General features: G+C 37.3%; 1 protein-coding gene across 39 annotated transcripts in view, besides 1 other annotated feature; it reads left to right on the forward strand.

Moving 5' to 3' along the window:
* Window positions 1-16252, forward strand: part of PIKFYVE (phosphoinositide kinase, FYVE-type zinc finger containing) — a 92691-nt gene that overhangs the window by 42375 nt on the left and 34064 nt on the right. For all 39 annotated transcript variants that reach the window (XR_007070607.1, XM_011510779.3, XM_047443667.1 and 36 more), the window contains 6 exons: window positions 3806-3865; window positions 5864-5993; window positions 6763-6943; window positions 9437-9511; window positions 11822-11929; window positions 15712-15852. Coding sequence is in view for 38 of the 39 variants with exons in the window: in XM_011510779.3 (XP_011509081.1) it covers window positions 3806-3865; window positions 5864-5993; window positions 6763-6943; window positions 9437-9511; window positions 11822-11929; window positions 15712-15852 (695 nt within the window). In the remaining variant the exon portion in view is untranslated. The remainder of the gene's footprint in view (window positions 1-3805; window positions 3866-5863; window positions 5994-6762; window positions 6944-9436; window positions 9512-11821; window positions 11930-15711; window positions 15853-16252) is intronic.
* Window positions 12496-12615: an enhancer, noted in NCBI's record as "active region_17052". NCBI's record gives its function as "activates an Ori minimal core promoter by ATAC-STARR-seq in GM12878 lymphoblastoid cells {active_cell/tissue: GM12878}" and the evidence as "EXISTENCE:reporter gene assay evidence [ECO:0000049][PMID:35858748]".

Raw genomic sequence — 16252 nt, forward strand, 5'->3', positions numbered from 1 at the left:
TCTTAGTGGTGAGAACCTTTGAAATTTACTCTTAGCAATTTTGAAATATACAATACACTATTATTAACTGTAGTCATCATGCTGTACAGTATATCTCAAAAACTTATTCCTCCTGTCTGAATGAAACTTTTTACCCTTTGACTAGCATCTCCCCATTCCCTTCACTCCCTCAACCTCTGGTAACCACCATTCTACTTAGTATGAGCTTTTAATATGAAAAACACAAAGAGTGTAGTGTATCTGGTGAATGTAAGAGCTTATGATAACACTAGTAGTTGGTTTTTTTTTTTTTTTGAGACGAAATTTTGCTCTTATTGTCCAGGCTGGAGTGCAATGGCCTGGTCTTGGCTCACTGCAACCTCCGCCTTCCGGGTTAAAGTGATTCTCCTGTCTTAGCCTCCCAAGTAGCTGGGATTACAGGCTCCTGCCACCATGCCCGGCTAATTTTTGTATTTTTAGTAGAGACAGGGTTTCACCCTGTTGGTCAGGCTGGTCTCTAACTCCTGATCTCAGGCAGTCCGCCAACCTAGGCCTCCCAAAGTGCTGGGATTACAGGCGTGAGCCACCGCACCCGGCCCACTACTAGTATTAACACGTGGATTTGTAGCTTGTTGTACAAAATATTGAAAGGATAATTAATAATTTGATGTCAACAGGAAGTGGATGCTCCTAGGTTATGTTATAGGGACTTGACTCTATATTTAGAGTTGTTCACTTTTTTTTTTGGTCAGCACTTTTAATGTTTTTTTAGGTCCACAAATAATTAAAATCTGGAAAGAATGGCTAGCGTGTTGGATAGCAGAATTGACATTTAAAGATCTTTATTTTCTCAAGCAATAGATTGAGACTAACAAGATGAAAGTTAACACAGTTAAACATAAAAGAATAAGGCTTAACATGTTTACTATTAGTACTTTGGAGAAAGTCACTCTTAATAATTTGTGTGATAAAGATCTAAGTTTTAGTTATTTGCAAACTTAATAGTGTGATGTGCCAACCCCGCACTCCCTGGCACTCCCTAGGGCAATAATAGATTTCATTAGTGGCCATATAATGTCTAGAATGAGGATCCAATTTACTGTTTTGTGTTCAGTTCTCATTTATGAATAGAACGAGGTTGCCAGGATCCTAAGACATCTGAAAACCATGCTAAGGAAAGCTGGACTATTTAAAATGGAAAAAAGACGTGGTGTTTCCTTTAGGTATCTGAAGAGTACCTGAAAGAAATTATATTTATTTTGCATATGGCTGAAGGAAGAACTAGATTCAGTAGTTGGGAGTAGTGAACTTTTGCCACTGTGCATGGTAAGTGTCCAGGTTGTGTCTGAATGTCCACCTGTCATGGTTATTGAGGACAGATGCCTGCATTGGGTGATGCGTTATATAGACTTGGGGACTTCTAAGTTTTCTTTTAATTCTAAATCTGTGAACTGAAAAATCTAGATCTAGAATTAAAAAGAAATTATAATCCTTTAGCCTACTCAGTGAGAATATTACAGAGGAGGTTCCAGCATTAGGAAGAAGATAATTATTAAATTGACCTCTTAGGTCATTTGCAGTCTTATAATTTGAAGACTTTAAAAGTCTCTTAATAAATATTACTGGCTTTCACAGTTCTCTCTTAGTTTTTAACATACTAACGAGTTATTCTTTTTACATTTTTTCTTGTGAAGTTGAAGCGTAATAGTTTGCTGAGTGTTATAGTCAAGATGAACACTGATTATCAGAAAATAAAGATTTCCAGGGAGACTGGTAGTTACGTGAAAAAATAATAGAATTCTTTTGCCTCTGGTTTTCATTCCCTTTGTATAAATACAAATGGGAATGGTTTTTATCTTTACATTGAAATTAAAGGTAGTACTTATTAAATATTTTCTTATGGATTGTCCTATATTGTTTCAGGCTGAGGAAAATTGGATTTATAAAATTGGTTGAAATATCTGTACTTTAAAAAATACTACTTATGCTTTCTGTCTGAAGTGAGAAAACCCTATTTTCAGAAGCTCGTAAAACTGGCTTAATTTTTCATTATTGGTCTTGGAGAATTGTACAGTTAAAATATATTTTATTATGTATTACAAGCAGGATTCTGAACTATTCTTGGAAAGTTAGCAAGTAAAACCTAGAGAAGAAGGTGAAAATCACGGCTTCCGTAAATCTCTAGATGTAGTTTTCCGTGTATAGGAAAACATGGGATAGAGGAGCAAGTTAAACACACCATGAGAAAACAATGGATTGTACTCCGAATGTGGGACATTGCACAGAACATTTGACCTGGGTTCTTTTAAATTCATGTTATGAAAAGAAAAAAAGACAGGAGATCTGTTCTAGATTAAAAGAGAATGAAGAGATACAGGAACCAAATGCCATGTGTGAACTTGATTGCATCGAGGCTTAAGAAGAAAAACTGTGGATTAAAAACATTTTGGAGACAGTTGGATAAACTTGAGTATGGGCTAATTCTGTGCTATTAAGACATTGTTAATTTTCTCAAATATGTAAATAATTTTGTGGCTATAGAGAAGAATACCTTTATTTTTATGAGAGTTGTGCTGATGTCCTAGTGGTAAAGTGTCATGATGTGTGTAACTTTGAATGATCGGGGGGAAGAAACATACACATATATGGCAAATCCTTAACAATTGTTGAACTCAGGTGGATGGTATACAGCATTTTCTGTAGGTTTGAATTTTTTTCATAACTAAATGGGGAAAATCCACCATTTCTGGAGTCTCATATAGATACAATTAAGCTTTAGTGTGAGAAGGCTGGTAAAGAACAATACATTAATTGAACTAATAGGATTTGGTGTTACTCATTCCTGTGAGGGAAGAGTAGAAATAAAGTGTAACATCTATCTTGCCCACATACTCGATTTTATTGTATTTGGCATAGTGCACTTGAACTTTCTAAATAAAATATTTTCTTTGTTTCCTGGTTGGAAGGATGAGCATATTGGCTTATAAACATAGTAACTTTTAAAGCCCAGTTGTTTATAAATGTACTTGGAGAAAATTTTGTGGAGATCCTTTACCGTAAAGGAGTTTACATGCATCATGTTTTAATTTGCATAGTGGAAAGAACCTCATTTGAGCTATGCTTGGTCACAGACCTAGAGAAAGTTCACGGGGAAGTAAAGAGTAAGTTTCACTTGTAAGAAAAGTATTTAATATATTAAAAGCATTCAGAGTGTGTTCAGTTAATGTCTAGCAAAAATTTGGCAGTGTTTGATATAATTTTTGAAAAACAAAAACACTTATTTGGAACTAATACAAATACTGATGAGTTTTATCTTTATTCCTGCCAATGTCACTTCTGTATTAATTTGTTTTATAGCTTATATTCTGAAATTTGAAAAAAGTTTATATTGTTTTATCAGGTGGGTTCTGTATGAACTGCTTTGTGCATAGGCAAAGTGATTATTTGTTAAATCATCAAGTTACATGTGAAAAGAACTGTAATCTTTTAGGATGGTCGTACAAGTATCTGAAGATTTAATTTTCATAAACCGGTTGGTTTTGGTAAGAGAAAAACATTTCTCTATCTGACATTTGAATTAAGGAGAATTGTTTTCACGGCTCTATTGTGTTATTAATGCAAGTCTGCTTAAGTTTAGTATGAAGTGCATAGAACAAGTATAAAGAGGCATTTTTACCCAAAGCTTTCTTGAATTTGCCGGGCAGTGATGGGTTTAGTATGAGTAATATTTTGTGTGTGGGCGTATTCTCTATATAATTATGCTGACATGTTATAGTCATATGTCTCTACTTTTGTTCCTCCTCTCTGTTGTCTCCCTGGTATGCAGAGTATTTGATTTCTGACACTGGAGGACAACAGCTCTCAATAAGTGACGCTTTCATCAAAGGTAATTTTATAAAAAGCTGTATGTGGAATGGTGTCTCTTTTTTTCATGAGGATATACTTAGGGCTTAGCACATTGATTAGCACAGAGAAGGTGCTGAAAATATATTTGATTATGGTGGTATCATGGGAACACAGTTTTTAATATATATAATGATTTAGAGAATGTTGAGAACCAAGAATGTAAACTTGGACTTGGTTTGCGAGAAGGAGGTCTCTGATGTGAAAAGTAATTGTTTAAAAACTTTTAAGTAGAATTTGAACTTAATTCTTTTAAAGACATAGTTTACACTTAACTGTATTGTGAATATAATATTAAGTATTGATATAAATATCATCAAGGATTGTCAAATTTGTCAAAAAGCCCACAGGCAGATCTCCAGTTAAGGATGCTGCTTGCCCTGTGGAGTGAGGAAGAGAAGCAGGCAGTAGAGGTTAAAGAACTAACTCTGATGATAAATTTCTTTTGGACACAAAAGGAGATTAGCCTTCTCCTATTCCTTCCCTACTTAGCTTAGCTTAGCTTCCTAGAGTAAAGACATTCTTAGTCCATAGTACTCCACTGGTTAGGCCTCAGATAATGGGAGAAAATTTCTCTTCCTTCTTGGCTCCCACGGTTTCAGATCAAAGAGAGAAGGCAAGCGGGTACAAGGAGCCACTGCAGCTTATCTGATAGCTTGGCAGTGCTTCTAAATTCATCTCCAAGCATCTGGTTCGGCTAGAAGTTTACAGAGTGGCCCTTTATGTAATTGAAATGTGCAATTCTTGTACTTCACATGTCATGGACATATACTTTACTGTGTAATCTGCTGGGCTGTTTGGTGGAAGTTTTTTTGTTTGTTTGTTTTGCTTTTAAGAGGGGACAGGTTAGAGAATTTTTGTAAGCATTTCCCACTTCTTTTCTTTCCACTTATTTGGTCAGATTATTCAACAGTTATTTAGTGAACATATTTTTTTGTTAAGCATTTATTATTTATTTTTTGTCTTATCTATTTTCATTCATCCTTTAAAAAATTTAAAGATTTTACACAAATTCTACATAAATGCTATTTATTATGTTTTAATATTTATGTTTTTGAGTCTGTCTTGCTAAAATTTTGTTAAAAAACCCCTGTGCCAATATTGAAAGAGAAACACTATTGAGGATTGTCTGAATAGACTTTCTACACTGTCATCTGTTGTTTTGTGATATCTGAGCTGAGCTTCTTTCTTGAAAATTCATCACTCTCGCTATCATGTGTTCTTTTGCCAGCATTCAGATTTCTGTTGAATGCAGTTTTCAGTTTGTGATTTTTTTTTTTTTTTTTTTGAGATGGAGTCTCGCTCTGTCACTCAGGTTGGAGTGCAGTGGTGCGATCTTGGCTCACTGCAATCTCTGCCTCCTAGGTTCAAGTGATTCTCCTGCCTCAGCCTCCCTTGTAGCTGGGATTACAGGCGTGTGCCAACACGCCCAGCTAATTTTTGTGTTTTTAGCAGAGATGGAGTTTCGCCATGTTGGCCAGGCTGGTCTCGAACTCCTGACCTCAGGTGATCTGCCCACCTCGGCCTCCCAAAGTGTTGGAATTACAGGCGTGAGCTACCACGCGCGGCCCAGTTTGTGATTTTAAAGGGGAAATTAACACCCTCGTTTTTAAAAATTAAAAGGAGAAGCAAAAGTTTCATTTTATTTGCTTTTCAGAAGCTGTGCTTATAATTATTGGCTTGAGAGTCTTAGTTACGTACATTTGATTTTCACAGTTCTGTTTCTGATTTTGGCTGTTGCCAATTACTGCTCTTCTTAATTCTTGCATTTCTGTATTTTTAGTGTATTTTATGTATTTGTAAGTATTTTCTTATGCATTTTATTTATATGTTTATTACATGTTCTTGCCTTTTTACACCAATAATTTATGTTGGCTAACTTAAAACATTTATAAAGACAAAGGGCAATTTCTAAATATATGAGTAGATGGTATAAAACAGGACAATGAAGTAATAACTTCTTATTTTATATTGTACTTAGAATCCTTATTTAATCGCCGAGTAGAGGAAAAATCCAAAGAGCTGCCTTTCACACCTTTGGGCTGGCATCATAACAACCTGGAGCTCCTGAGGGAGGAGAATGGGGAGAAACAAGCCATGGAGAGGTTGCTGTAAGGCAATGAAATTTTTAATTTTAATTTTTCACTTTTATTATCTTCAGTGACTTGATAAGCATATGCATCATTCCTCTTAAAAAGGGAGGTCTTTTTCTTTTTCCTTAGAAAGTAAAAAAATACTAAGGTTACTTAGGAAATACAGTCTATTTTGACTTGTGATTAAATTTCTTATAAAACCAAGAGCCCCGGCTGGGTGCAGTGGCTCACGCCTGTAATCCCAGCACTTTGGGAGGCTGAGGCGGGAGGATCACAAGCTCAGAAGGTTGAGACCAGCCTGGCCAACATGGTAAAACCCCGTCTCTACTAATAATACAAAAATTAGCCAGGCGTGGTGGCGCTGGCCTGTAATCCCAACTACTCAGAGGCTGAGACAGGAGGATTGCTTGAACTCAAGAGGCGGAGGTTGCAGTGAGCTGAGATCGCGCCACTGCACTCCAACCTAGGCAACAGAGCAAGACTTCGTCTCAGAGAAAAAAAACAAAAACAAAAGCCCCAAACTGTGCTTGTCTGTCCCCATTTTACGTGTTAAAATTTCATTTCAGTCAATTGCAGGGGACTTCTTAGTGGAAGATATTCAGATTTCATTTATATGCAAAATCCTTAAGGTACAGATATAATGAAAGAATGATATTGACCTAGAAAATCTTATCTGTGAGCCGTAATTGAAATGTTTATTTCTTTGTAGGCTGTTTGTTTTATCATCAGAATTATTGTCTCTGGCAGTATTAACTATGCAAACTTCTTTCTTATAATATTTTTGTAGTTCAGCTAATCATAACCACATGATGGCACTACTCCAGCAGTTGCTCCATAGTGACTCACTGTCATCATCTTGGAGGGACATCATCGTGTCATTGGTCTGCCAGGTTGTTCAGACAGTCCGACCTGATGTCAAGAACCAGGATGATGACATGGATATCCGTCAGTTTGTCCACATCAAAAAAGTGAGCTCTGCTAATGTTTTACTAATGCTAGGAACTGATGAGGCAGGACTGATTGTAATTTTTGTCTTAATGGTAATCTGAAAAGAGTCATTACCCTGAGGGGTGCTAGGTGAGGAGTAGGAGGTTTTGCTGTCTGCTTTGTTAGCAGCGCACTTAGGAGTCATGGAAGCCACGCATAGGAAGTGAAAGGTCAATGGAAAGGATGAGTTATATCGGAGATGAGTTGGGAACCCAAACAGAGATAGGTTCTTCCTTTCTTGCTTCCTCTTCTTGACAAGTCAGCTATGAGAAAGCCTGTTCTCACAGATTGTGATCACTGTTTGGAGGAAAAGCAGTGGGTAATTTGCTTTATTTAGATCAAGCTTGTCCCACTCGTGGCCTGTGGGCTGCATGCAGCCCAAGACTGCTTTGAATCTGGCCCAACACCAATTCATAAACTTCTTAAAACATTATGACATTTTTTGCGATTTTTTTTTTTAACTTTTTTATGTCTCTTTCTTTTTTTTTAATTATTATTATACTTTAAGTTTTAGGGTACATGTGCACAATGTGCGGGTTAGTTACATATGTATACATGTGCCATGCTGGTGTGCTGCACCCATTAACTCGTCATTTAGCATTAGGTATATCACCTAATGCTATCCCTCACCCCTCCCCCCACCCCACAACAGTCCCCAGAGTGTGATGTTCCCCTTCCTGTGTCCATGTGTTCTCATTGTTCAATTCCCATCTATGAGTGAGAACATGTGGTGTTTGGTTTTTTGTCCTTGCGATAGTTTACTGAGAATGATGATTTCCAATTTCATCCACGTCCCTACAAAGGACATGAACTCACCCTTTTTTATGGTTGCATAGCATTCCATGGTGTGTATGTGTCACATTTTCTTAATCCAGTCTATCATTATTGGACATTTGGGTTGGTTCCAAGTCTTTGCTATTGTGAATAGTGCCGCAATAAACATAATGTGTGCATGTGTCTTTATAGCAGCATGATTTATAGTCCTTTGGGTATATACCCAGTAATGGGATGGCTGGGTCAAATGGTATTTCTAGTTCTAGATCCCTGAGGAATCACCACACTGACTTCCACAATGGTTGAACTAGTTTACAGTCCCACCAACAGTGTAAAAGTGTTCCTATTTCTCCACATCCTCTCCAGCACCTGTTGTTTCCTGACTTTTTAATGATTGCCATTCTAACTGGTGTGAGATGGTATCTCATTGTGGTTTTGATTTGCATTTCTCTGATGAAAAAACCACTTTAAAGTTCGTATGGAACCAAAAAAGAGCCCGCATCGCCAAGTCAATCCTAAGCCAAAAGAACAAAGCTGGAGGCATCACGCTACCTGACTTCAAACTATACTACAAGGCTACAGTAACCAAAACAGCGTGGTACTGGTACCAAAATAGAGATATAGATCAATGGAACAGAACAGAACCCTCAGAAATAACACTGCATATCTACAACTATCCGATCTTTGACAAACCTGAGAAAAACAAGCAATGGGGAAAGGATTCCCTATTTAATAAATGGTGCTGGGAAAACTGCCTAACCATATGTAGAAAGCTGAAACTGGATTCCTTCCTTACATCTTATACAAAAATTAATTCAAGATGGATTAAAGACTTAAACGTTAGACCTAAAACCATAAAAACCCTAGAAGAAAACGTAGGCATTACCATTCAGGACATAGGCATGGGCAAGGACTTCATGTCTAAAACACCAAAAGCAACGGCAACAAAAGCCAAAATTGACAAATGGGATCTAATTAAACTAAAGAGCTTCTGCACAGCAAAAGAAACTACCATCAGAGTGAACAGGCAACCTACAAAATGGGAGAAAATTTTCGCAACCTACTCATCTGACAAAGGGCTAATATCCACAATCTACAATGAACTCAAACAAATTTACAAGAAAAAAACAACCCCATCAAAAAGTGGGCAAAGGATATGAACAGACACTTCTCAAAAGAAGACATTTATGCAGCCAAAAGACACATGAAAAAATGCTCATCATCACTGGCCATCAGAGAAATGCAAATCAAAACCACAATGCGATTTTTTTTTTAAGCTCATCAGCTGTTATTAGTGGATTTTATGTGTGGCCCAATACAATTCTTCTTCCAGTGAGGCCCAGGGAAGTCAAAAGATTGGACACCCCTGATTTAGATAGTAATGGAGTCCTGTGTGTGCTTTTTCCCTATGATATTTAACTTAAACAATAGTGTTAACTGCCACATGGCACTAGTTTATTCAGTCAGTGAGTACTTTAGAGTCCTAGGGTAGTACATTAGAGAACAGGGGATGGGAAAACAGAGTCATGCAGAGATGCCATTGATCGTTGGTTGAAAGGAAGTATTATTTCCTGAAATTTTTTGTTCTTATTTGATTACATAATAGTTTAAAAAAAATGGAAAGAAATAATAGCGTACATCTAACTAGATTCTAAGCATGTTATCATTGAATTTTATTGTTTTCTTAATTGTTCCATTAGATCCCAGGTGGAAAGAAGTTTGATTCTGTGGTTGTCAATGGCTTTGTTTGTACCAAGAACATTGCACATAAAAAGGTAATGTGATTCAGTTCAGCAGTGAAGTTCAGCAAACCATGGCTGTGTGCTTAGGTAACAAGTTGGGGCACCTTAGTTATGGAAGAAATGGACAATGGACAATGAAAGGCAGCTGTGTCTGCCATAGGGGTGAAATTTGGTTGGTTCAGGGAAGATTTCCCAGAGCTGAGGATGAATGGATTGGAATTTGAATAATGGGAATTCACCAGACAGAAGGAGGAAGGGGAGAGGATCAGGCTTCTAGATTAACAGAATGATAAGATACTGGCATTATTTATCTCCTGATCCTGTTACGTCTTAGGGAGACAGGGTTTCTCTAGTAGGCTGGAGTCCTTCCAGAGGCTTAGCATTCTAAAACTGATAGCTCTTCTAGTGCTCGGCTACAGAACTGTCAGTCTTCTTCTGTTATCCTTCTCACCTTATATCTTTGTAGCACTAGCACAAAGGAGTGGAGTGAGATAACCTGGGGTATTAAGGAGACTCTGAGTTCCTAAGGTGTAATATGGGCAATGTAGATGAAGCTGGAGGAAGCAGGCAAGGGCTTTGTATGTCATTAAAGGTCTTGAACTTTATTCTGAAATCTTTTGATTCTCAGTGTAGTGTACATACATTGAGATCACATGTGGACCTTTTAAAAATGTCTGTTCTTAACCTAACCCCTAGAAATTCTCATTCAGTAGGTTAAGGGCAATGGGAGTGTATGGATGTTAGGGAAATGGTGGTACTGTATTTAAAGTAGGCACTAGGCTGAGTGTGTAATACCAGCACTTTGGGAGGCCGAGGCTGGCAGATCACGATGTCAGGATTTTGAGAGCAGCCTGGCCATATGGTGAAACCACATCTGTACTAAAAATACAAAAGTTAGCCGGCGTGGTGGCGTGTGCCTGTAGTCTCAGCTACTCGGGAGGCTGAGGCAGAAGAATCTCTTGAACCTTGGAGGCGAAGGTTGCAGTGAGCTGAGATCACGCCACTGCAGTGCAGTCTGGGCAACAGAGCGAGACTCCGTCTCAAAAAAAAAAAAAAAAAAAAAGTAGGCACTTCAGGTGTTTCCAGTGTCATTTGTTGGTCCTTGCATTTTGAGATACCATTTATCTATAGTAGTGTTCTCAAACCTTGCTGTGCTTCAGAATCACCAGCGGAAACATTCAAAACAGAGATACCCTGGCCCCACTTCTGGGGATACTGATTTTGTTACAGCAAGAGCTGAGGCAGATTTCTAGCCTGAGCAACCAGATGGATGAACTCTAGTCTTGTTTTCACTTTTTTTCTAAGTTGAGCTTAATATAGTTTTTTCTAAGGCATTAAGATTCCTGAAAATTATTAGTGACCATAGATAAATAAAAATATACTTGGCTTGAGTTTTGTACTTATCGCGTATTTTATTGCAATAATTCGACATCAGTCAATATTTCTACACAGAGTCTTACTAAAACCACACATTACCCTTTAAAGGAGAACTTTAAACCAAATTAAATGATATTTGTTGAATTAAGAGGTAAATATGTTGTGCCTTCTCAGAAAGTGAGGAAAATTTGTATGTGGGTGTGGTGGAAACATATGCATGAATGACTGTCTTGCCCCACTGATTAGAGATAGTCCTTGATTTGTAGTTGCTAAAAAGAGTCCTGAATTGAGTTTCCCAGCTGGTGAGTCACTGTTTTCGGAACTGTTTGCCAGTTTGGGGTCCATAAACTTGGTCAGCCTGAAACCTCAATTGCTATTCTGCCTGTGGCTTTAAGCACACGATTAGGGTATATTATTTGGGTCTCTGCTTCTTGAGATGCTTTCAGATTTTCTTTTTGAACTTCATGTTTCCTATTTCAGCTTGCCACCTTAATGATTGTTTGGAAATTTATTCTATTAGCAATATGTTCAGGAGGCATTTTAATTCTTTTCTCCCTCTTCTCCTCTTCAATTTTAGACAGACTAAAATATGCTTTTAAAGTTGCTTATTTCTTGGAGTTTGTGAAGTAACCTGTCATTAAATACTGCTCCCTCCGTGCACACTCAGGGCATGATGTCTCTTCTTACAACATCAGAAATAAAAAAAAAAGTTAAAGAGTATAGAAGATCAAAGTAGTATTAAGAAAGAAAAGCCATTTTTTGAAGAATTTTGCATTGTTCTGAACATATTATTTGCTTTGAAAAAATTTAATACCGTAAAAGAACTAAATGAGAATATATTAATACTAATATGAGATACATTAAGTTAGTAGGAATTATGAACAATATAGATTTAAAGTTATAATTAAAGGAGGGCTGTAAAATGCAAACCTTTAAACACTTTAACAAACTGTTCATTTTTTGTAGATGAGTTCTTGTATTAAAAACCCCAAAATTCTTCTGTTGAAGTGTTCCATTGAGTATCTCTACAGAGAAGAAACTAAGTTTACTTGCATTGATCCTATTGTGCTTCAGGTAAGAATTTACTACTGAAAATAATAATTTAGAGGGATGTTTGTGTACCATGATGCTTATAAACTCTTAATGATTTTGACTTAATTCTAGCTAATTAAATTGGATAGGCAAACTTGATAGCTTACCAAAACCTCTGTCACTCATTATTTTTAAAGTTTCATAGTATTAAAGGTAACATGTGACTGTTCAAGGATATAAGGAAGAAAAAGTGAAAATCCAAATACTAATTTCCCTTTCCCACTTAATCCACTGATTTACTGTGGGAATTTCTCGAACTTACCAGATTTCTAATGGAATCTCTGGTTTGTAATACAGTCTATGCTACTAAAACATATTTCTAGAACATCAATTAGCTTATATGTAGTTGGCAAACAGAATAATGTCAGATGAAAGTTGTGTTGGTTTCTCAGTGGTTTTTCCTAAGCAAGGAGGCCCAGAATAGCTGCATTAGGTTATAACCCTCAGCTGGAAAGGAAAACAGTCTCAGCTCAGCTGCTACACAGGCAGAAACCCTTCCAGCTCTATTTTAAGAAAGTAAAAGTGAGCTTTTGCTTGCAGGGCTCTCTCCCCAGGGAGGCACACCCGCATCTCTGTGTGGTTCTTGGTAGCTTTGCTGCTCAGAGCTCCATTTCTAGTTGTAGCGTTGCAATAGTTTTTGTGCATTTAATTTTACTTGAGGCAGCCTCATGCCATATGAAGCTCTCTGCCTGGGCTCTCCATGATTCCTCTTAAGGTACCAATTATTATTTTTATTAGTGCTGAAGGTATAAAGTTGCATAGGTTTTAAGTTTTCTGCTCCAACTCCTTTTCTCCCATAAATACTGTTAATTTTACTTTGTGGTCATTCAAAGTGGAAGCTTTTAGGGAATGTGTATATTATATTATAGTGGAAACACTTATGCTGGGTTCCAGAAACATTTAGGAAAAGCATTACTTGAAAATTCCTAGGTAAATACATTTTTTTCAAGAGTGGTAGGAGCAATCACTTTTGTACTGATTTCCTAGATAACAATAAGAGAAAATGAGTTGTAGTAAAAGAAACAGTGCTTTATAAAACTCTGCTGTTATTACTTAAGAACTCTGTGACCTGGGGCTGTTTTCTCTTTGGAATTCAGCTGTGCTATCAGTAAAAATGATGGGTTTTGACTAGACATTTTAGTAGAGAACTCTAAAGAAATAAAGGGAAATACTTCTTTTTTCTTTTTCTTTTCTTTTGTTTTTTTTTTTTTTTTTTTGAGACGAAGTCTCGCTCTTGTCCCCCAGGCTGGAGCGCAATGGTGCAATCTTGGCTCACTGAAACCCCTGCCTCCCAGGTTCAAGCTATTCTCCTGCCTCAGCCTCTCGAGTAGCTGGGATTACAGGTGCCTGCCACCATGCCTGGCTAATTTTTGTATTTTTTTAGTAGAGACGGGGTTTCATCATGTTGGCCAGGCTGGTCTTGAGCTCCAGATGTCAGGTGATCCGCCCGAGGCGTCCCAAAATGCTGGGATTACAGGCGTGAGCCACAATATTCATTTCTTTTGAAATTAAGCCTTTGTGATAAAATTCTATTAGCATTATGTTTGAGATCTTTAACTGTAGCTGTTCTAGGTATTATATGATCTGTTGGGAAATTGGAATTAGGAAGTAGCTGAAATAGCATCTGTTAGAGTTATTTATTCAGAGATCCAGAAAAAGGGATAACTCATGTTGGTTTCAGAATGTAGAGGAGAGAATTCATAACCATACTAAAACAACTTAGGGATGGGCATAGTGGCTGACACTTGTGATTACACTTTTGGAGCTGAAGGCAGGAGGATTGCTTGAGGCCAGGAGTTCAAGACCAGCCTGGGTAACATAGTGAGACTCTGTTCCTACAAAAAATAGAAAAAATTAGGCAGGCATGGTGATGTGTGCCTGTAGTCCTAGAAGGGTGAAGCAGGAGGATTGCTTGAGCCCAGGACTTTGAGGTCACAGTGAGCTATGACGGCACCTCTGCACTCCAGCCTGGGTAACAGAATGAGACCCTGTCTCTTAAAAAAAAAAAAAAAAAAAAAAAACTTAGAAATTGCTTTTATTTTGGGAGTTGTGAGGTTAGGTTTTTTTGTTGTTCTTGTTTTTTTTTAACCTCTGAACTAGCTAATTGGATTCTTGGCTTTTAAATTAAGAATTGAAAATCTTTCAAGGAAAGTTAGTTGGAGAATGGAATTTCTCCTGAAACTCTTGTCAGCATAATCAAGTTTAGAATGATGAATGAGATTCTTACTGTGTTTGCATTAATTTGCTTACAGACTTATTTGTGGATGAAGAAAATTTAGTCTAAGATTGATAATAGTCAAGCTATCTTGATATATATATATATATTTTTTTTATTACACTTTAAGTTCTAGGGTACATGTGCACAATGTGCAGGTTTGTTACATATGTATACATATGCCATGTTCATGTGTTGCACCCATTAACTTGTCATTTACATTAGGTATATCTCCTAATGCTATCCCTCCCCCCTCCCCCACCCCATGACAGGCCCCCGTGTATGATGTTCCCCTTCCTGTGTCCAGGTGTTCTCAATGTTGAATTCCCACCTATGAGTGAGAACATGCGGTGTTTGGTTTTTTGTCCTTGTGATAGTTTGCTGAGAATGTTGGTTTCCAGCTTCATCCATGTCCCTACAAAGGACATGAACTCATCCTTTTTTATGGCTGCAGAGTATTCCATGGTGTGTATGTGCCACATTTTCTTTTTTATTTTTATTTTATTTTTTATTTTATTATTATTAGTAGTAGTATACTTTAAGTTTTAGGGTACATGTGCACAATGTGCAGGTTAGTTACATATGTATACATGTGCCGTGCTGGTGTGCTGTACCCATTAACTCGTCATTTAGCATTAGGTATATCTCCTAATGCTATTCCTCCCCCCTCCCCCCACCCCACAACAGTCCCCAGAGTGTGATGTTCCCCTTCCTGTGTCCATGTGTTCTCATTGTTCAATTCCCATGTATGAGTGAGAACATGTGGTGTTTGGTTTTTTGTCCTTGCGATAGTTTACTGAGAATGATGATTTACAATTTCATCCACGTCCCTACAAAGGACATGAACTCATCCTTTTCTCTGGCTGCAGAGTATTCCATGGTGTGTATGTGCCACATTTTCTTAATCCAGTCTATCATTGTTGGACATTTGGGTTGGTTCCAAGTCTTTGCTATTGTGAATAGTGCCGCAATAAACATACTTGTGCATGTGTCTTTATAGCAGCATGATTTATAATCCTTTGGGTATATACCCAGTAATGGGATGGCTGGGTCAAATGGTATTTCTAGTTCTAGATCCCTGAGGAATCACCACACTGTCTTCCACAATGTTGAACTAGTTTACAGTCCCACCAACAGTGTAAAAGTGTTCCTATTTCTCCACATCCTCTCCAGCACATGTTGTTTCCTGACTTTTTAATGATTGCCATTCTATCTGGTGTGAGATGGTATCTCATTGTGGTTTTGATTTGCATTTCTCTGATGGCCAGTGATGATGAGCATTTTTTCATGTGTCTGTTGGGTGCATAAATGTCTTCTTTTGAGAAGTGTCTGTTCATGTGCTTCGCCCACTTTTTGATGGGGTTGTTTGTTTTTTTCTTGTAAATTTGTTTGAGTTTTTTGTAGATTCTGGATATTAGCCCTTTGTCAGATGAGTAGATTGCAAAAATTTTCTCCCATTCTGTAGGTTGCCTGTTCACTCTGATGATATTTTAATATGTCCAGATACTGCATTTTACCAGGTGTAATATTTCTGATTTATCTTACTTAGGAAAGGGAATTCTTGAAGAATTATGTCCAGCGAATAGTTGATGTTCGACCCACCTTGGTTCTTGTTGAGAAAACAGTGTCTCGGATTGCCCAGGACATGTTATTGGAACATGGCATTACTTTGGTCATTAATGTAAAGTCAGTGAGTGTTTTTAATTTTCTATTGTATTTTAAAAAAATCACAGCTTTTAAATTTATATGCACGTATGGTAGGTATACAAGAATCTTTTTTTCTTTGCTGTTCTATTTGTATTGAAAGTGGGACAGAAGATATGGCACCTATTTCATTAAGATTCAGAATTTCAGACTGGAACTGGAAGAAAGTATAATTGATTATGTAATACTTATTGGTGTCTACAAGACCAAAAGTGAAATGGACATTAGTTAATCACTAGGTATTTGTTGATCCTTCATTTTTGTTGGAGAATTGCTCAAGCAGAAGACGTTCTCTCCCTTGAAAAGTTTACCCTGTGCAGAACAGGGGCCAATTCTAGGAAGTTGTTTTTCTCCCCACATTATCTTGTGGTAATCCATGATGCTTA

Source organism: Homo sapiens, chromosome 2 (genome assembly GCF_000001405.40).
Source record: "Homo sapiens chromosome 2, GRCh38.p14 Primary Assembly".
Lineage (NCBI taxonomy): Eukaryota > Metazoa > Chordata > Mammalia > Primates > Hominidae > Homo > Homo sapiens.